At 40.3% G+C, this 22,764-nt stretch overlaps 1 protein-coding gene across 14 annotated transcripts in view; it reads right to left on the reverse strand.

The window, feature by feature from the left end:
• The window catches only part of PARL (presenilin associated rhomboid like), a 58,392-nt gene that overhangs the window by 17,074 nt on the left and 18,554 nt on the right, over positions 1 to 22,764 (reverse strand). For 10 of the 14 annotated variants that reach the window (XM_017006802.2, XM_017006801.2, XM_017006800.3 and 7 more), the window contains exons 4-5: positions 19,191 to 19,239; positions 669 to 764 (exon numbers count right to left, since the gene is read on the reverse strand). In XM_017006802.2, coding sequence (XP_016862291.1) covers positions 669 to 764; positions 19,191 to 19,239 — 145 coding nt within the window. Of the gene's footprint in view, positions 1 to 668; positions 765 to 12,869; positions 12,990 to 19,134; positions 19,240 to 22,764 lie in introns of those variants that run through there. The other 4 variants (XM_047448518.1, XM_024453631.2, NR_136893.2 and 1 more) reach the window with 4 other exon arrangements.

Here is a 22,764-nt window from a genome sequence, read left to right on the forward strand (position 1 = left end):
GCTCACGCCTATAATCCCAGCACTTTGGGAGGCTGAGGCGGGCGGATCACGAGGTCAGGAGATCGAGACCATCCTGGCTAACATGTTGAAACCCCGTCTCTACTAAAAATACAAAAAAATTAGCGGGGCGTGGTGGCGGGCACCTGTAGTCCCAGCTACTCAGGAGGCTGAGGCAGGAGAATGGCATGAACCCGGGAGGCGGAGCTTGCAGTGAGCTGAGATCACGCCACTGCACTCCAGCCGAGCCAGGCAGATCACCTGAGGTCAGGTGTTCAAGAACAGCCTATCCAACACGGTGAAACCCTGTCTCTATTAAAAATACAAAAACTAGCTGGGTGTGGTGGCGGGCACCTGTAATCCTAGCTACTAGGGAGGCTGAGGCAGGAGAATCACTTGAACCTGGGAGGTGGAGGTTGTAGTGAGCTAAGACTGCACCACTGCACTCCAGCCTGGGCAACAGAGGAAGACTCCGTCTCAAAAAAAACAAAGAAAAAGAAAAAGAGAGGTGAGGTCCCTGTCCTCAGTGAAGGAGCTTACAGCCTATCCTCTGCATTTTGCTTGTAGCTATTGATAGGTAATTCGTCTTTTTTACAGCACTTCCATTAACTAAAGCATATTTCTTTCATATTATTTCTACCTTAAAATAAATTCACACAAGTTAGACTTACTTGAGGCTGGATTCGATGTGAAATATCTGATCATTGTCCGCTGCAGAGAAGGTACTCTCCATAAACAGAATACAAGGACATTTGCAGCTATAATACCTACAAAATAAATATTTATAATTTAGGGAGGTTAAAAATGAAAGCAGGAAAGTCTGATCTACATTACCCCCTTGTAAGATTCTTCCACAATTATGTAAGAGTACTGTATACCTGGGGGATAGGGGGTGAGCCAAAAAAAAGCAAGTGAAATGAATGCTTTTAAAGTATCAGCACTGCCTAGGGTTGGTAAAGTCACAGAATTCCTGGGAAATTGTAAATGCTCTGGGAGCTAACTTCCTTTCCCTAGATCCATATTTTACTTCTTTAGAAGAGCTTACTTTTCTCAATTATAATCAGATCAATAATTTATTGTCTATAATAGCCAAACCAAAGACAGAAGTAATATACAGAATTAGGTTCTTTGGCCAAGAGTAGAAGAGCTAACATTACTTCTTTTTCCTCAGGGCATGGTATGCTTCTTAAACTTACTGCCAGCTTATGGAAACATATGTGAGTCATCTGTGTAGGTGAAGGTCAACATGTCTGAGAAAAATAGTCATGTGATAGGAATTCAGGGATAATTTAGAAAACCTCTGCAACTGCTTCTAAAGTCTGTTTACATGTGGGAGTTGAGTGACTTTCCTTTTTCTGTAAGTGTTGATGTTGTTAGTACTACGAAATTGAGGTTTATTCGATAATATAATTAACTTGTTACATTTTAGATAAGAAATTATTATTGAAAACTACAAACTTCAAAAAATATATTAATTTTATGAATTGCCACAACTCCTTCACATAGCAGGTATTCCTCTACTTGTTGAATTAAAATAAACATTTGTCATTCCTCCAGTCTCTGTAGGCAACAGGCAAGTAGCACTTTCACCTTCTTCGATGCCAATAAGGACTGATTTCAATAACATACTGGTAAGAGGATTTACTTTAGAAAACATTCTTTGTCTTGTCCCTGGCAGCTGATCTACATCTCGGTGTTACCTGTGGCTTCCGCAGTTGCTCATTCTGTAAGGTTCTCAGCTAGCCCCTGGCATTTCTAGTCTGTCCAGTTTTTGCTCTCCCACTTGAGAGGTGGGAAAGGAAGCTACATTTTTCACAGATCTTAAGACATTTTTTCCATTTTAATATCTGAAATCAGGATGCATCTTATAACTGGTAGCATTTTTTCTTTCTCCGTAGTACATTAAATAAAATTTTACTGCATTTTGTTGAACTGATTCCATCAGTTGTATCAGATGTCTCACTAGCAGGGACTGTGACAGCATTATACCACCTTTGGTAAATAATTACCCAGAACTCTTTTAAAGATGGTGAGAGGGACAGCATTTATGCAAAGATGGGAAAAGGGATCATACACAAGGCAATGAAGAGCGAAGAGCACTGTGTACACCTCCCAATGTGGAGCCTGGAACCCTGGGAAGGGCAGGCGGGCAGAGCCTCCTCACAGGGACTGGAGTCTTGGGAGGTTTACCCTATAGGAAGAGAGCAGTGATTCGTGTTGCTCTGGATTCCTTAGATTCCTTTGGGAGAGTTAATCATCTTTACTACCCAGAGTGCACCCTTAGGTCTAGGTTGTCATACCCAGTGATTGATATCTTAGGGTAAAGACGACCTGAGAATGGTCTGGCCATGATCATAAAGATCGGATTGCTATGATCATGATCAGTCAGGGCTTTGGTGTTTTATTCTAATTGTGGTTCAAGGCAAAGAGAGCAAGATGGGGTCCCTGATCCTGCCTACTAGGCTGAAAAATGGCAACGACTACTCTGCTTCCTCTGTCAGTTCCATGGGCAACTTCCTCAAACCACAGACACACAGCACACCCAGCTTCTGGAAACCACAGGCACCACAGCACTGTCAAGACGAGGATATGTTTCTGGATAAAGTGATTAAAATAAAGGAAAATACATGAAAAAAAATGAAAGATAAAGGCCGGGTGCGGTGGCTCACGTCTGTAATCCCAGCAGTACTTTGGGAGGCTGAGGCGGACGGATCACCTGAGGTCGGGAGTTCGAGACCAGCCTGACCAACATGAAGAAACCTCGTCTCTACTAAAAATACAAAATTAGCTGGGCGTGGTGGTGCATGCCTGTAGTCCCGGTTACTCAGGAGGCTGAGGCAGGAGAATCACTTGAACCCAGGAGGCGGAGGTTGAGGTGAGCCGAGATCACGCCATTGCACTCCAGCCTGGGCAACAAGAGGGAAACTGTCTCAAAAAAAAAAAAAGCGGGGGGAAAGATAACCAAAGACATTGAGGTTAACAGTAGACAAAGAGTTAACACTGCTAAGTTTTCAATCCAAACGCAAGAAGCTTTTCTGATAAATAATGAGTACTGGCACTGAAACAGACTGTAGCCAAAATCCCTTACTTCATAAGCCAGTGGTCATCAAACTGCTTTCATGGGGCACCCCATTAGTAAACACCATCCATTAGTAACAGACACATCCCATATATGTATACTTATTAACAAATTATGTACGTGAACCACTATAAATTCATAAGACACACTTAACAAATTTAAAAGAAATAAGAAAAGTGAAATGCACATACTTTCTTCTTTGTAAACCCTATTCTGAAGGCCAGTTATAGATGAGAAAAACAGGCTCTAAAAGGTACAAGTTGTCAGAGGGCCAAATTCAGTGGCCAAGCCAGAATTCCTAATCTAGTGCTCTTTCTACTATACATCAAGACATGGGTAGCCAGGAGGATTTATTTTGACCTTGGTCACTCTAGGACTTCAGACACCACATAAAAACGGCTTCCTTGCTGGGAAACAGCATATGCTGGTCCCCAGAAGCGGATGAGCATGAGAGGATGTGTGGCAATCCTAGGCCTACTGAGGCAGTACTGCATTTTGGCTAAAAGTATGGGTGAAGGAGTCCAGCAGAAGTGACTCTGTCCTACTTACATTATAACCTGGGGAAGAGGCCTAACCGCTCAGCTTGTTTCCTCTTCTGTAAAATGAGAATAATAAAATCTACCTGAAAGGGTTGAACGGGCCGGGTGTGGTGGCTCACGCCTATAATCCTAGCACTTTGGGAGGTCCAGGCAGGAGGATCCATCCCTTGAGCCTAGAAATTTGAGACCACCCTGGGCAACATAGTGAGACCTCCTCTTTACAAAAAAATGAACAAAATCAGCTGGGCATGGTGGCACATGCTTGGGTCCTAGCTATTTGGGAGGCTAAGGTGGGAGGATTGCTTGAGCCCAGGAGGTCAAGTCTGCAGTGAGCCAAAATTGCACCACTGTACTCCAGTCTGGGCGACAGAGGGAGACCCTGTCTCAAAATAAATAAATAAATAAATAAAAAGAAAAAAAAGGGCTGAGTGACGATGAAATGAGAAAACATGATGAAATGTAGCAGTCACACAGTGAACCAGCAAATGGAAAACATGGTGAAAAGAGAATGGCCTTTTCAAGTCTGAATCCTAAGTATGTCACTTAGCAGTTTTGTGGCCTGTGGCACTTTATTCCCTCATTTGTAAAATGAGGACAATACCTCCTACCTCATAAAGGTTGTAGTGAGGCTTAAATAAGATAGTACATGCACCTAGCATGCAAATGAACAAAGAATAATGGTTTCCTCCTCTCTCCTTTTCCTTTGAGAAATAGAAGAGCTTAAGTTTTGTATATCTCCACTTAGGAGGGATGTCACCTGCTTCTTCCTGACTCGGTAACTCTTGGACAAGCTTGGCACTACTGATTCAGGAAGGCACTGCTGTCCTAGTGCCTACCCTCACACCTGTGTAACGCACTGGACTATGTCAGTGAAAAATAACAAAGTAAGGAGCTCTGAAAACTCTCCTTCATAAGAGCAATGAAAGAACTGGCAAAAAATGTCAGAATCAACCTTTTCAGAACTCTGGAAACTAATCAAAGGCTTATAGCAAACCAGGGTGTATTTACTTAAGAAAAACAGCTGAATCTCAAAACACCTAGCTTTGCAGCGTTTTTTGTTTGTTTATTCATTTTTTTCTTTTTTGAGACGGAGTCTCGCTGTCTCCCAGGCTGGAGTGCAGTGGCGCAATCTCCGCTCACTGAAAGCTCCGCCTCCCGGGTTCACACCATTCTCCTGCCTCAGCCTCCCGAGTAGCTGGGACTACAGGCACCCGCTACCACGCCCAGCTAATTTTTTGTATTCTTAGTAGAGACCGGGTTTCACCATGTCAGCCAGGATGGTCTCAATCTCCTGACCTCGTGATCTGCCCGCGTCGGCCTCCCAAAGCTTTGCAGCATTTTAACTTGGCCTAGTCCAATCCCCCACTCTCTAGTTACAAGGTAGTCTTGAAAACCGAGGTAGCTGGTAGAATGGAGCTGGAGCTCTTTCAAAGCCTCATTCCCAAAGAATTGTCATTATTTGACCTGGCTGTTGATTCCATGCAAAACCCACTTTCAGGGCTGTCTGTTTAACCTGACTGGGAGCTCCCCAAGTATAAAACTTTTCACAGAGGGCATTTGTCAAAAACAATGACAGGTAAGTGTTTTAAGTTTGAGGCTGCCTGAGATGATGGATAACACTTGGGGGCAAATAAGAGACTAATCAAAAATCTTGAGGAAAAGCAGGGGAATAAGATTTCCATAGAAACTCTGAAAACCTCTAACATATTCCTGGACTCTACAAGGCCACATGCATAGTAAGACAAAATAGACCTTAAGACAAAATTCATTGCTAGAGAAAAAGGAGGATATTATATAATGATGAAAAGGTCAATCCATCAAGAAATAGCAATTAGAAACATATGTACCTAACAAAAGAATCTCAAAAATGAAGAAAAATGGACAGAACTAAAGGAATAAATAACAATAATAGCTGGAGACTTCAGAACTCTATTTATAATAATGGAGAGAATAATTAAATGATCAGCAAGGAAGCAAAAGACTTCAGCAGCTCTATAAAACGACTAGACCTAACAGACATCTATAGAACACACCACCCAACAAAAACAGAATATACATTCTTCTCAAGTGCACATGCAGCACATTCCAGGATATGTTCAGTCACAAAACAACTCTCAATAAACTTAAACTAAAACACTAAAATTATACAAACTATGTCCTCTGATCACTTGGAATGAAATTACAAATCAATACAGAAATAAATTCAGAAAATTCACCAGTATATGGAAATTAACAAACTCCTAAATAACCAACGGTTCAAAGAAGAAATCACGAGGGCAACTAGGAAACTCAGATGAATGAAAACAAAAATACAATATACCAAAATTTATAGGAGGCAACAAAAGTGGTGCTATGAATGCCCACATTAAAAAAAGAGATCTCAATTCAATAATCTAACTTTTCACCTTAAGAAAGTGTAGAGAGGAGCAAACTAAAACCAAAGGAAGCAGAAGGAAAGAATGAAGAACATACGTAAATGAATAGAAAAATAACAGAAAAATTAATAAATCCAAAAGTTGGATTTGTTTGAAATGATCAATAAAATTGACAAACTTTTAGCTACAGTGACAAAGAAAAAAAGACTCAAATTACAAAAGTCATCTCATACAGGTCTGAGATTTGCTAAAAAAGAAAAATAAAAATAAAAACAAATTACTAAAATCAGGAATGAAAGCAGAATGTTACTACGAACCTTATAGAAATCAGAATTACTACAAAATACAATGAACAATTATATACCAACAAATGAGAATAACTTAGATGAAATTTAAAATTCCTAGAAAGATACAAACTACTAAAATTGACTCGAAGAAATAGAAAATCTGAACAGACCAAGAGTAAGTAAAGAGACTGAATTAGTAATTCAAAAAACTTACCACAAAGAAAACCCCAGAGCCAGATTAGGTGTTAGGTGCCTATGTTTCTCATTGGCTTCACTAGTATTTGAGTTTCCTACAGCTGTTGTAACACAAACTTGGTGGCTTAAAACAAAAATCTATTCTCTTCCAGTTCTGGAAGCTAGAAGTCTGAAATCAAGGTGTAAAGTGTCAGCAGGGCCATGCTTCCTTTTGAAGGGTCTAGGGAAGTGTCCTTCCTCCCCTCTTCCTAGCTTCTGGTGGCTCTCGACAATTCTTGGCATTGTTTGGCTTACAGGTGCATCACTCCAATCTCTGCCACCATCTCTTTGGTCTTGTTTTCTGTATTTTTCTTTGTCCTCTCTTCTTCTTATAAGGACATGAGTCAATGGATTTAAGGTACATCCTAATGTAATATGATCTCTCTGTAACTAATCAAATCTGCAAAGACCCTATTTCAAGTAAAGTAACATTCTGTGGTTCTACGTGGACACAAATTTTGGGGAAGCACACTATTCAACTTACTACAACTGGGAAATTCTACCAAATATAAAAGAGAATTAACACCAATCCTTCTCAAACTCTTTCAAAAAATAGAAGAGGAAGGAACATTCTATGTAGCCACTATCACCTCCGTATCAAAACCAAAGACATCACAAAAAACTATCAATATTCCTTTATGAAAAGAGATGCAAAAATCCTCAAGAAAATATTGGCAAACCAAATCCAGCCATATATAAAAAGGATTATAAATCATGACCAAGTGGAATTTGTCACAGGAATGCCAGCTTGGTTCAACATATGAAAAATCAATGTAATATTTCATATTAACAGTTGGAAGACTCACAATTCATAGTTTCAGAATTTACAACACAAACCTACAGGAATAAAGACAATGTAGTATTAGAATAAGGTCAGATATATAGATCAATGGACAGAATTGACAGTCCAGAAATACACCCATACGATTACGGTCACCTGATTTTTGACTAAGGTTCCAAAACAATTCACTAGGGGAAAGAATAGTCTTGTCAAAAAATGGTGCTCAGACAAGTGGATAGCCATAAGCACAGAATGAGTTTGGACCCCTATCTCAAATCTCAAATACAAACATTAACTCCGAATTAATCAAATGCCTAAATTTAAGAGCTAAAATTTTAAAGCTCTTAGAAGAAAACATAGGTACACATCTTTGTGACTTTGAATTAGGTCACGGTTTCCTTGACATGACACTTAAAAGTACAAGCAACAAAAGAAAAAAATAGATAAAATGAACTTCAGCAAAATTAGAATGTTTATGCTTCAGAAAACACTGTGAAGAAAGTGATCAGACAACTCACAGAATGGGAAAAATATTTGTGAATCATATCTCTTAATAAGGGTCTAGTATCCAGAATATATAAATAACTTTTACAACTCAATAAAAAGATAAATAGCTATTTTTAAATGGGAAAAAGATTTGGAGAAACAGGCATTTCTCCGAAGAAGAATAAATATACAATAAGACATGAAAAGATGTTCATTAGTCATTAAGGAAAGGCAAATCAAAACCACAGTGATACACCCCTTCACACTCACCAGGATGGATATAATAAAGGCAACAAAATGGGAGAAAATGTGCAAATCATATCCAATAAGGGATTAATATCCAGAATATATAAAAAAAAACTCAACAACCCAATGTAAAAATGGGAAAGGAAGTAAATAGACAGTTCTCCAGAGAAGAAACACAAATACTCAATAAGCACATGAAAAGATGCTCACCATTACTAGTCACTAGCAAAATGGAAATCAAAACTATACCCATTACGATGGCTATTATCACATTTAAAAAAAAGGAAAATAGGCCAGGCATGGTGGCTCACACCTGTAATCCCAGCACTTTGGGAGGCCGGGGCAAGAGGATTATTTGAGCCCAGGAGTTCGAAAGCAGCCTGGGCAACTTGGCAAGACCTCATCTCTACAGAAAATTAAAAAATTAGCCAGGTGTGGTGGCGCGTGCCTATGGTCCCAGCTACTCAAGAGGCTGTGGAAGGAGGGTTGTTTGAGACCAGGTTGAGGTTGTAGTGAGCCATGTTCATACAACTGCACTCCAGCCTGAGTGACAGAGCGAGACTCTGTCTCAAAAAAATTAAAAACAGTATTGCCAAGGATGTGGGGATGTCAGAACCTTTGTACATCACAGCATTAGTCACAATAACCAAGAGATGGAGACAACCCAAATGTCCATCAACAGAAGAATGGATAACCAAAATGTGGTAAATACATAGAATGGAATATTTGAGCTTTACAAAGGAAATTTTCATCATGCTACAATATCGACGAACCATTAAAACGCTATGCTATGCAAAAGAAGCTGGACCAAAAAGAAAAAAAAATTATGGTTCCACTTATATGAAGGATCTAGAATAGACAAACTCACAGAGACAGAAAGTAGAATGCGGTTACTAGTGGCTGAGGGGAGGGGGTAATAGGGAGCTATTGTTTAACAGGTTCAGTGTTTCTGTTTGGGATAATGAAAAAGTCCTGGAAATAGATAGTAGTGACGGTTATACAACACTGTCTGAAACTCCTGGCCTCAGCCAATCCTCCCACCTCCGCCTCCCAAAGTGCTGGGATTACAGGCATGAGCCACCATGCCCAACCTACAACACTGTGAATGTACTTAAAGCAACTAAAGTGTGCACTAAAAAATGTCTATAATGGCAAATTTTATGTTATATATATTTTACAATTAAAAAATACAAAAAAAATTGTAGTTGCTGATAGAAAAGACAGGCAATAACAGATGGAATCCTCACACTACTTGAAGGAGTGGAAAATGGTGTAGCTACCTATGGAAAACAATTTGATAGTTCTTCAAAAAGAAAACAAAGGGAAAACTGGATACCCACATGCAAAAGACAGCAGCTAGATCTTTATCTTATACCAATATACAAAAATTAACTCAAAATGGATTAAAGACCTAAATGTTAGACCCTCAACTATAAAACTCCTAGAAGAAAACAGAAGAGAAGCCTCATGACACTGGACTTGGTAATGATTTCTTGGCTATGACACCAAAGGCACAGGCAACAAAAGAAAAAATAGACAACTGGGACTATATCAAACTTAAAAACTTTTGTGTATCAAAAGATACAATCAAAAGAGTAAAAAAGCAGAAATAAATCACAGAATGGAAGTATTTGCAAATAATGTATCTGAAAAGGGGGTGATATCAAGAACAAATAAAGAATGCTTATAACTCAGGCGGGTGCAAGTGGCTCATGCCTGTAAACCCAGCACTTTGGGAGGCTGAGGTAGGTGGATCATTTGAAGTCAGGGTTTCGAGACCAGCCTGGCCAACATGGCGAAACCCCATCTCTACTAAAAAGTACAAAAATTAGCCAGGCGTGGTGGCACACGCCTGTAATCCCAGCTGAGGTGGGAAGAGTGCTTGAACCCAGGAGATGGAGATTGCAGTGAGCCGAGATCGCTCCACTGCACTCTGGTCTGGGCGAAAGAGCAAGACTCTGTCTCAAAAAAACAAACGAAAAAGAATGCTTATAACTCAACAACAAAAAAAAATCAAATAACTCGAGTACTTGAAATACATTTTTCCAGAGATGATAAAACAAATGGCCAACGAGCACGTGAAAAGATGCTCAACATCACTAATCACCAGAAAAAGCAAATCAAAACCACAGTGAGGTATTATCTCACACTCATCAAGATGGCTACTGTCAAACACCTACACACTCACACAAAGAGAAAATAACAAATGTTGGCAAGAATGTGAGAAATTGGAAGACTTGAGCGCTGTTGGCGAGAATGTAAAATGGTACAACCGCCATGGAAAACAGCGTGAGAATTCCTCAAAAAATTAAAAATACAATAACCATGTGATCCACCAATCCTGTAACTGGATATACATCCAAAAGAATTGGCCAGGTGTGGTGGCTCATGCCTGTAATCCCAGCACTTTGGGAGGCCGAGGCAAGTGGATCACCTGAGGTCAGGAGTTTGAGACCAGCCTGACCAATATGGTGAAACCCTGTCTCTACCAAAAAAAAAAATACAAAAATTAGCCGGGCATGGTGGTGTACACCTGTAGTCCCAGCCACTCGGTAGGCTGAGACAGAATTGCCTGAACCTGGGAGGTAGAGCTTGCAGTGAGCTGAGATCACGCCACTGCACTCCAGCCCACGCGACAGAGTGAGATTCCATCTCAAAAAATAGAATCGAATGCATGGTCGGTCTCAAAGAGATATTTGCACACCCATTTTCATAGCAGCATTATTCACAATAACAAGAGGTAGAAATAACTCAAATGTCCATCAATAGGTGAATGGATAAACAAAATGTGATATACACACAAAATAAAATATTATTTAGCCTTAAAAAAGGAAGTAAATACTGTCACGTGCTCCAACATGGATAAACCTTGTGGACATTATGAAATAAGCCAGTCCAAAACACCAAGTATTTTATGATTCTACTTGTATGAGGTATCTAAAGTAGCCAAATGCATAGAAAAAGGAAGTAGAATGGTGGTTATCAAGGGATGAAGGGAGGAGAAAAAGGGGACGTATTGTTTAATGAGTAGAGTTTCAGATCTGCAAAATGAAAAAGTTCTAGAGATTGGTTTTACAAAAATGTGAATATACTGAACTCTACTGAACTATATGCTTAAAAATGATTAAGATGGTATATTTCATGTTTTTTTTTTTTACAATTAAAAAAAAAAAAAACAGTTACCATATGACCCAGCAATTCCATTCCTGGCTATATATACCGAGAAATGAAAACATATGTCCACACAAAAATGTGCACATGGAGGTTCATAGCACCATTATTAATAGCTGAAGAATGGAAACAACTCAAATGCCCATCAACTGATGAAGGAATAAACAAATGTAATATATCCATACACTGGAATATCATTTGGCCATAAAAAGAAACAGAAGTACTGATGATATATACTGCAACACGAGTGAACCTTAAAAACATTATGCTAAGTGAAAGAAACAGACACAAAAGGCCACATATTATGTGACTTGATGTATATGAAATCTCCAGAAGAGGAAAGTCCCTAGAGAAAGCAGGTTGATGGCTGCCTAAGGCTGAGGGGAAGGAGGGAAGGAGGGAATGGGGGAGTGACTGCTAACGGGAATGGGGTTTCTTTCTGGGATAATGAAAAGGCCCTGGGATTAGATGACGTTAATAGTTGCACAGCCTTTTAAATATAATAAAAACCACTGAATTTACTTTGGCTTTCTATTTTTATTTATTATTATTTTTAGAGAGATGTGGGAGGTCTCACTATGCTGCCCAGGCTGGTCTAGACTCAAGCAATCCTCTGACCTCGGCCTCCTAAGTGCCAGGCCTCCCAAGTGGTAGGATTACAAGTGTGGGCCACCACACTCAGCCAACTGCACATTTTAAATCAGTGGTCTCCAACCTTTTTGGCACCAAGGACCGGTTTTGTGTTAGACAATTTTTCCATAGACCAGGGGTGGGGGGATGGTTTCAGAATGATTCAAGTGCATTACATTTATTCTGCACTTTATTTCTATTATATCATAATATATAATGAAGTAATTACACAACTTATCAACTTATCATAATGTAGAATCAGTGGGAACCCTGAGCTTGTTTCCCTGCAACCAGACAGTCCTGTCTGGGTATGATGGGAGACAGTAACAGATCATCAGGCATTAGATTCTCATAAGGAGTACACAACCTAGATCCCAGCCTGGCCAACATGGCAAAACCCTGTCTCTACTAAAAATACAAAAGTTACCCAGGCGTGATGACAGGTGCCTGTAATCCCAGCTACTTGGGAGGCTAAGGCAGGAGAATCACCTGAATCCGGGAGAGATTGCAGTGAGCCAAGATCACACCACTACATTCTAGCCTGGGTGACAGAGCAAGACTCTGTCTCAAAAAAATAAACAAACAAAAAAAAAAACAAAAAAAACCCCACAAACAAAGTTTCACTTGTTCCCCTGCCGCTCACCTCCTGCTCTGCAGCCCGGTTCTGGTACCAGTCCCTGCCCAGGGCTGGGAACCCCTGCTTTAAATGGTGAATTTTATATGTGAATTATATCTTAATTTTTAAAAAGGCAGATGCACTGATTTGGAAAGCACTACTTGGTTCAATGACCTCAGGTTATCTTCCTCCTCAGCCCAAGAAAGGTAGTAAAACCCTTTTTCTCATTTTCCTATAAAGGACTTACCATACCACTTGGGGTCTAATAGCTATTCACAGATCCCCTCTGTTTCTGGGTGGGCCAATTCACCCCTCCAAAGCTCCTTTATCTGAAGGGGCTACTATACCAACCCAGACCTGGCCAGTCCAGACACTGACAAGCAAGTACATCCACAGCAGCCAAAGAACTAGGCTCAAGCCATCCTTACCTCAGGTTCTCTGGGAACCAGGCAGGTGCAAAGATCAACCTGTTGGCCTCACACAGTGGCTATCATTTCTTTTCCTAGGCAGTATCCACCAAACTAATTAAGGACTGGGTCCACAGCTACCTGGAATCAAGAAGAAACCCAGAGAGACTGTCCATCTTCCATCCTCCCACTGGGATAGAGACAGAAAGTTTGAAACTAATACGGGTAAACAGAAAGGGCAAATTCACAATGAGGGAGGCAAAGGCCCTTGTAATTGCTAACCACAAAAAAGGATTGTTATTTCTCTGTACTCTCCCTGCAGATGAGAATATCTAACCTCCCCTGTGGGGAACTTTTAGAAATCAATCTGATGTATTTATACTCTGTACATTGTTGGAGGACATTTAAAATGGTACACAACTTCTTTTAAGACAACTTTGCAATACACAAAATTTTAAATGTATATTCTTTGACCCAGCAATTCTATTTCCAGTAACTTATCCTAAAAATATACTTGTACAAGGTACAGAGATCTATATATAAGGCATTTCACTGTAGTAATATTCATAAAAGCAGAAGACTGAAAACAACCTAAATATCTATTAATAAAAGATTTGTTAAATAATACTCATTTACATGGAATACCATAATGCCATTAAAAAGAATATGCTGGCCAGGCACAGTGGTTCACACCTGTAATCCCAGCAATTTGGGAGGCCAAGGCAGGAGGATCACTTGAGCCCAGGAGCTCAAGACCAGCCTTGGGAGGTTGAGGCTGCAGTGAGCCGTGATCATGCCACTGCACTCCAGCCTGAGTGACAAGTGAGACGCTGTCTCAAAACAAACCAAAACAAACAAAAAAGCCTGATGTGCTGGTAATTTCCATTTATCAATCCAGGTGCTGGTTACATGGATGTGCTCAGCCTGTGAAAATTAATTAGTTGAGTTGTACATCTGACATATTCACATTCTTCTATGTATATTATACCTCAATAAAATATTAAAAAGAATGTAACAAACCTACTTGTATTGATATAGAATGTTCTTTAAAATATTAAGTGAAAAAAAATCATGGTGCAGAAGAGTATGTACTGCATGTTTCTATTTTTGTGTTAAACCACAGATAGATATAAATGCCTATATATAAATAGATGCTTTGGAAGAACACACAAGTAACTAAACATGCAATGGTTATTATGGGAAAGGAAAAGTGCAGAACTGGAAGTTCAGAGTGAGAGAAAGACTTATTTTTCACTTTATGTATCCTCTATTCCAATTTTCATCTGCTACCATGCATATTTATTCATTTTACAATGACAAAATCTAGTCTAGGCAGTCAAAAAGGGCTCCCTTTCCTCCCTGGGGGTAGGCTGCTACTTTGGAACAATTTGCTGCAATTTGTGCTGTGAATCAGCACCCAGATACTTGATAGGGGGAGGCAGTGTGGTTTATCAGAAAGGTAATTAATGGTGGTTTGCTATTCTAGAAAAGTGAAAAGGACATAATAAAAACCCTATTCTTTGATACATGAAGTGGATTTGATTCCCGAATCCACCCAGTTCTAGCTGTGTGATCGCAGTTACTTGGCCGTTCCTTGCCCCATCTGAGAAATGAGGATAACAGGGTTCTTATGATGACTAATAATAATAGAAATGCATGTAAAGCACATAGCATGATACTTGAAGTGTGGTTGGCACTCAAGGATTAACTTTGCTATTCTTCTACAAAAATAACTTGTTTGCAGACTGGGAAGTCAGGAGTTACAGAAAAACAGTGACTGATTCTGATTAAAAGGTAAAGATGGGCTATAAGACCAAGGAAAACATTGCCTTACCAGCAACATCAGGAATAGGTAAGGAGGCCTTAGTCTGGGAAGACAGCTCAAAACCTTGAAAAGGTACAAGGAGAGAGAGAACTGAAATGAAAAAGAATAAGCCTGGCAGAAACAGAACAGCAAAGAAAAAAGAATAGACTTTAGAAGTTGGGGCAAGGGGTCAAAGACTGGAGAGTAGTAGTGACTAAGCTTTGGAGCTGACAAAAAATACACTAGTAGAGGAACTACGGCACAGTTTTCTTGCGATCTCTCTCCCTATCCTTTTCTGTCCTTGCTCCTTCTTGATCAAAAATAATAATTTAGCTGATTTTTTCCTGTGGCTTTACCTGAATCTCAATACAGTAAAGTCAGCATTCTCTTGAACTAACAGGAAAACCTGGCAAGTGCCTCAAAGACAACCCTGAAAGCTAGAAAGGGAGGAGAAAATATTCTCTCTGGGGGTTGCCTGGGGACCTCTAGGAGAGGCTTAAAAGGCTGACAGATCAGGGCAATAGAACAGAAAATTAGGTGAAATATAAAAGCACCAGGGATGACAAATTTAAGTTTGAAGAATGCCACGTTATACTCCCCGCTTGCCCCACAAATACCTAGTGGGCTTATAAACACTTTTTCAGAGCAATATGAAGCCTGGGGAGATTATTTCTGTGTAATAAAAATTAAGACCAAAAAAAAAATCCCCAAACAAACCAAAAAAAAAGGATTAAAACAAGTTTCCTAGCATAGCTTTAAAAAGGGATTTGCACAGACAGATTGAGACAGAACAGTCAAAAACTACAGACTCGCCGGGCGCGGTGGCTCACGCCTGTAATCCCAGCACTTTGGGAGGCCGAGGCGGTGGATCACGAGGTCAGAAGATCTAGACCATCCTGGCTAACGCGGTGAAACCCCGTCTCTACTAAAAATACAAAAAAATTAGCCGGGCACTTATAGGCTGAGGAAGGAGAATGGCGTGAACCCAGGAGGCAGAGCTTGCCCGTGAGCAGAGATCACGCCACTGCACTCCAGCCTGGGTGACAGAGCAAGACTCCATCTCAAAACAAAAACAAAAACAAAACTACAGACTCCAAACCTGGCATCAGCTGTAAGAAGGGGAGGTTTTTGTTGTTGTTTTGAGACAGAGTCTCACTCTACTGCCCAGGCTGGAGGGCAATGGCATGATCTCGGCTCACTGCAACCTCTGCCTCCCAAGTTCAAGCGATTCTCCTGCCTCAGCCTCCCAAGTAGCTGGGATTATAGGCATGCACCACCACGTCCAGCTAATTTTGTATTTTTAGTAGAGATGGGGTTTCACCATGTTGGCCAGGCTGGTCTCCAACTCCTGACCTCAGGTGATCCACCTCCCAAAAGTGCTCCCAAAGTGCTGGGATTACAGGCATGAGCCACTGCACCCAGCTAGAAAGGGGTTTTTTACCTCACCACCAGATGCCACCTTAACAATAAAATAAATTATGGGTATGCCTTACAATCTGACTGTTCTTACCTATACCTAGGAACCAAAGAGACATGGATAAATTTGAGATACCCCTCATTCTCTGAAACTCAGAAACTATGTATATTTGGATTAACACTTTACTGTCTGAACTTACCGTATCCAAAATCTTTCCATCCAAATTCAAGAGCTCAACAGATTCAATGGCAAGGAATACTTACATGAAGTGTTTGGTGTAGCAGTGAGAAATCTTTAACCGACTAGAGCTTTCATGCTGCCATTGTCTAGGTATGAATACTACAAAGCAGAGAGGCACACTGGTCTCACAAAGCTTTAAAAACTCTCTAGGTCAAACTTGTCAAGTTCTTTCAAAATATAAAACGAAAAAAAAAAAAACCCATTCGGAAAACATCTCCAATCCAAAGAAAGAAAGTGGGACGGAGTAGACCTGTCACCCCATAAATCTATCACTGATTAAAACCAGAAGCTGAGCCAACTTCACTTTGCAGTCTACAAGAAGCAATCAGGAGTGCTCAGCAAGGAAAGCTGGACTAATTGGCACCCCAGGAAGAAGACAAGACATACTAAATAAACAGTTTATTCTTGAGACTCTCATATATAGGTAATTGATTAAGCACCACTTACAGACATTGTAAAGCTAGAATCACTATTACTAGAATAATTATTTCCTACAAGAAAAGTCTGAGGTGACACAAGACAGTTCAAATGGCATTTCCTGAGGTTAAAGTCACTTGGATAATCTAACAATAAAGATTTAAGACCTGCAGCATGACCATTCACATTTATGTTGTTCAAAGCAGCTTACATTCAAGTTGCAAGACAGATCACAAGCATCTCTCTCTACTGCTACGCTCTTCATGCCAAATGGCTGATTTGATTTCAAAAAAGAAAAAGACTAGGGGGAAAGAATTCTGATTTTTAATTACCTCTAGCTTCTTTGAAGAAAGTATTCACCAGCATGAGAAAAGGTTTTAAACTCTGATGCTAGGCTTCTTCATATGTTAAATGGCATAAAATCATGACCACCTTCAAAGAATGTGAGGTATAAACTAATAGTGAAATGCTTTGAAAATAGTGAAGGCAAAACCTTGCCACCCTAAAGAAATCTTAATTTCGTTACTTTTTTTTTTTTTTTTTTTGAGACAGAGTCTCGCTCTGTCGTCCAGGCTGGAGTGCAGTGGCGCAATCTTAGCTCACTGCAACCTCAGCCTTCCAGGTTCAAGCAATTCTGCTTCAGCCTCCCTAGTAGCTGGGATTAACAGGCGTGCACCACCACGCCTAAGCTAATTTTTTGTATTTTTAGTAGAGATGGGGTTTCACCGTGTTGGCCAGGCTGGTCTCTGACTCCTGACCTCAGGTGATCTGCCCGCCTCGGCCTCCCAAAGTGCTGGGATTACAGGCGTAAGCCACTGCACCCAGCCTCATTACTTTCATAAAAGAAGCAAGCAAACAAAATACATTAATCTAGTGGAAACAGATGTGCTACTAAAGAGCTATCTTTGAAGTAATCATTTTAAGATGTCACTGACCTATCAATTCTATGGTCTTAGTTATGGCAACACTGAAAAATCTCAATCCCTTGGTTAAGATTCCATTCAACATTCATTCACTCAACAGATTTTAACTGAGTGCCCTTACTGTGTACATGATATATGCTAGGTGCTGTCACAAAATGAAAGATGTCATTGTTGTCCTCCAGATGCTTATACTGCCCTCAAGGATGTTACACATACAATTACATAAGGCACACTGCATTATCAATGATAAAAACTGCAATGAGTTCAGAAAAAAAGAAAGCACTTCCTAAAGGAAGCAATGTCTGAACCATAAGCCTGAAAGCTGCATCGGGTTCCAATAAAGTCAGAAAAATTAAGCCTTCCAGAGAGAATAAACAGTTTGAATGAAGAAAGATAAACACCCTTTCTCCACTTAAGTACAGAAAATTAAGAGTACAAAATAAGTCTTAAATGCTTATTTAAGTCTAATCAATTAGACTTTAAGTCTAATCAAATTTGAGCAAAAGCAATATTTTGCAATTCTCTAGAAATAATTTTTTCTTTTCTATGCAATCGTTAAAAAACTTAAAAAAAATTTTTTTGTTTTTGAGAGTCTCATCTGTCACCCAGGTTGGAGTGTAATAGTAGGACCACAGCTCACTGCAACCTCTGCCTCCCAGGTTCAAAATTCTCCTGCTTCAGCCTCCCAAGTAGCTGGGACCCCAGGCACGCACCACCACACCTGGCTAATTTTTTGTATCTTTGGTAGAGATGGGGTTTTGTCATGTTGCCTGAGCTGGCCTCGAACTCCTGAGCTCAAGGAATCCGCCCACCTTGGCCTCCCAAAGTTCTGGGATTACAGGCATGAGCCACTCTTCCTGGCAAAAATCTATTTTCAAGTTTCTCAAATAACTGACTCCATGAAATATTGCAGAGGTGTTAACTTGAAGAGCCAAATCTGTCTTTCCATAACAATTTACAAAGAAAAAAAGTTATCATGGTGACATGCATGTCATGCTTACATTTAAATGGGGTTTTATAAATAGCATGGGGGAGAAGAGCGAAAACTGGTTTTCGAATGGACAGACTTGGGTTTTGAAACTCTGCTCTATTGCTTACTAGCAGTTTGACTTTCAAAAGTTCCTTCTCTGAAAGCCGGTTTCCTTATCTGTAAAAAGGGAGACAACTACTCTGTAAGCAACTCCAAGTAGGGACAGAATGTGTATTACAGCATCCTGAATATAGAAGGTACTTAATGTTTCCATTAGTTTCTTTAATAAGGGAAGTAATAATTAATAAGCTATTCCACAAGCTGGAATTCTACAACAAAACTGATCAATCAGTATCATACTAAATCAAAATTAGAAAGTAACGGACCCAGAGCATCATGTAAACCTTTATACCTCACCACTTTATATACTATTACATTAGCCTATCAGTACAGAGACTGTCTTCTAAACCACTGGTGAGCATGGTACAAGAGCCATTGCTTGTGACATACTGTACCTTTTGGTTTGATTTCTCTTCCCTTGAATGGTTAAAACGTGTAAGCTAACACAAACCTGTCACAGTCCGCTGGCCATCACTTAGGTTATTCCACCACTTGTTAATCTAAAACAGACAGAAAATTGCATCACCACATGTGAGAAATTTCAGGCTACAAAAATGAAAAACCAGAAGAAAATGCCTCGCACATAAGAGGAATTCCTCTTCTGCAAAAATCACTGGTGGTCACAGACATAATAAATACGTGGTAGAGTGGAAAAGGCACATGTTTTATAGTCAGGCAGCCCACATTCTCCACACAGAACCAACCACTGGATAGCTCTGGAACCTCAGACAATTATTTCTAAACTTCAGTTTCTTGACACATGAAATGGGACAATAATAGGTACCCAGCAGTGTTATCACAAGGAATAACAATAATGTAAAGCCCCTAGCACACTCACAGATACAGACAGGTACCAAGGAAGTGATTATTCATACCAAGGTCTTATGTTTTAAAATTCTGAGAATATTGTCTACTAAATTGCACTTTTTTAAAGATATAGTAATGGTACTGGAGTTTAATAAAAAGAGGAGGGTCCTAATTTTTCAGGGATACATGTTGAAAATTTTATGCATGAAATACGTCTAGAATTTGCTTTACAATAATACAAGGGTGGAAAGGGAAGGGAAAAAAAGGGAAATAGATGAAAAAAAAATTGGCCCTGTCTTGGGGAACACTGAAGCTGGACGATAATGATTCATCATACTATTCTCTCTACATTTGTATCTGCTTGAAATTTTCCATGATTAAAGTTTTAAAATAAAAAATATATTCCAACTAAGAAATTGAACCAGATTTTGTTATTAAAAGAAAAAATCCAAGGTAAAAGAAACTACAGATTAGTATGTATAGTTCCATTTATTTTCTTTTTTTTTCTTTTTAAGAGACAGGGTCCCCCTGTGTTGCCAAGGCTGGTCTTGAACTCCTGGGCTGAAGCAATCCTCCCACCTCAGTCTCCCAAGGTGCTGGGATTACAGATATGAGCCGCCCCGGCCGATTCCATTTCTATAATTATAATTGCACTGTGTATGAACTCCCAGAACTTCGTGTATAGTGGCACGAAAGGGGTTCCCAGGACTTTCATGTTTCCATGTTAAATTTACACATTGTTTCAAACTTCTTTAATGGGCATAGGTTTTATACATTCAACTTATCATTTAATTATATTATAAACAAATCAATCTTTAAATGAAGATTATGTATACTGTTTGTATCATTTTTCACCATTCTCAAGAACCATTTGGGTACATTTGGATATCAAAACTTCATGTGCAGACATGTGCTGGAAACCTATAGCTTTGTAAGAGATCCAGGATAATGGAATAGGTCAGTTTTACTATCTTCTCAAATACATTGACTGAACAGATGCCGATGGCTAGTTATTGTCATTTTCACCTGCAAATATTATCCACTGTTCTGGCATAAAGCCTCTCTAACACAGATAGGGCTCATGCTTCTTGAATGTGCCCATGGGAAAACAAGGAGGAATGAATCCCTTTCCCTACTTAGAGAAAACTCAAAACATCATTAGCAAAAAGAAAATGCAAGGCTTCCTTCTCAGGCTCTTGCTGGCCAGGATCACACTGTTCCAAGGAAGGGGAAAAGTAAAGAAGATATCAACCTACTCTCCAGATTGGAAGGGCAATGTGTCATTAAAAAAACAGAAGTGCTTGAAAACCAAATGGGCCTGAAACCACATATTAACTAAAATCTCAGTGTTCAATATGTATTGGTGAATAAAAGAAATAAAATATTGGCTGGGCTCGGTGGCTCATGCCTGTAATCCCAGCACTTTTGGAGGCCGAGGTGGGCAGATCACGAGGTCAGGAGATCGAGACCATCCTGGCTAACACGGTGAAACCCCGTCTCTACCAAAAATACAAAAAATTAGCCGGGCGTGGTGGCGGGCACCTGTAGTCCCAGCTACTCCGGAGGCTGAGGAAGGAGAATGGCGTGAACCCGGGAGGCAGAGCTTGCAGTGAGCAGAGATCGCGCCACTGCACTCCAGCCTGGGCAACAAGTGAGACTCTGTCTCAAAAGAAAAAAAAAAAGAAACAAAATACATGTTTTATCTAAAAGCAAACATTTTTAAGAAATCAGTTAAGAAAGAGGGCCATCGACTTGCATATAAAGTAAATGAAAAGCTCTAAAAGCTCCATATTTCTTTTTTTTTTTTTTTTTTCCGTATTTCATCTCGAGCACAGTTTAGAGACACTCAACAGCAGGTATTTACCACAGGTGTGTAAATATCATGTCACTGAGAAACGTTTAAAACTCCTCTTGGGGCCAGGCACAGTGGCTCACACTTGTGAAATTCCAGCACTTTGGGAGGCCAAGGTGGGAGATCACTTGAGGTCAGGAGTTTGAGACCAGCCTGGGCAACAAAGTGAGACTCCTGTCTCCACAAAAAATGAAATAATTGGCCCAGCATGGTGGCACACGCCTGTAGTCCCAGCTACTCAGGAGACTGAGGCGGGAGGACTGCTCAAACCCAGGAGTTTGAGGCTTCAGTGAGCTATGATCCCATTACTGCACTGAGGCCTAGGTGACAGAGTGGGACGCTGTCTCTTAGAAAAAAAAATCACTTGCTAGCTCTATCCCTAAGGCATGTATATTTTGAAAAATTCCCTGCAGTTCAAATACGTACTCTAAAGCCAGGGTCCCCAACAACCCGGCTGCTGACCACTAGTGGTCCGTGGCCTGTTAGGAACTGGGCCACACAGCAGGAGGTGAGCAGTGGGAGAGCATTACCACCAGAGCTCTGCCTCCTGTCAGATCAGTGGCTGCATAAGATTCTCACATGAATGCAAACCCTACTGTGAGATGCACATGTGAGGGATCTAGGTGGCACGCTCCTTATGAGAATCTAATGCCTGATGATCTGAGGTGGAACAGTTTCATCCCATAACCATCTGCCCCCCTGCAACCCCGACCTGTGGAAAAATTGTCTTGCACAAAACCAGTCCCTGGTACCAAAAAGGTTGGTGACTGCTGCTCTAAAGCAATCCATCAAGGTGATCCAAGTAAAACAGTGGCCTTTAAACTTTAGTAGAGCTGAGATCCACTGAGATCCTTAAACTTTAGTAGAGCTGAGACATCCTCCACGCAGAAACATTAACAACTATTAACATTAATTTCTTTTCTTTTTTTTTTTTTTTGAGATGAGTTCTCGCTCTGTCACCCAGGCTGGAGTGCAGTGGCACAATCTCGTCTCACTGCAACCTCTGCCTCTTGGGTTCAGGCGATTCTCCTGCCTCAGCTTCCTGAGTAGCTGGGGCCACAGGCATGCACCACCACGCCTGGCTAATTTTTGTATTTTCAGTAGAGATGGGATTTCACTATGTTGGCCAGGCTGGTCTCCAGCTCCTGACTGCCTTGGCCTCCCAAAGTGCTAGGATTATAGACTTGAGCCGCTGTGCCCGGCCAACGTTAACATTTTTAACAACTATCCGTGGTGATTTTTGATGCATGTGGGTAGAGGGACAGAATTCTGGAACACTGTTAAGTACAACACCAGATATATAAAACAGTAATCAATACTTACTGTGAAGAATATTAAGTGCACTGACTTGACATCTATTAATCTG

The sequence above is a fragment of the Homo sapiens genome, chromosome 3 (assembly GCF_000001405.40).
Source record: "Homo sapiens chromosome 3, GRCh38.p14 Primary Assembly".
Taxonomy (NCBI): Eukaryota; Metazoa; Chordata; class Mammalia; order Primates; family Hominidae; genus Homo; species Homo sapiens.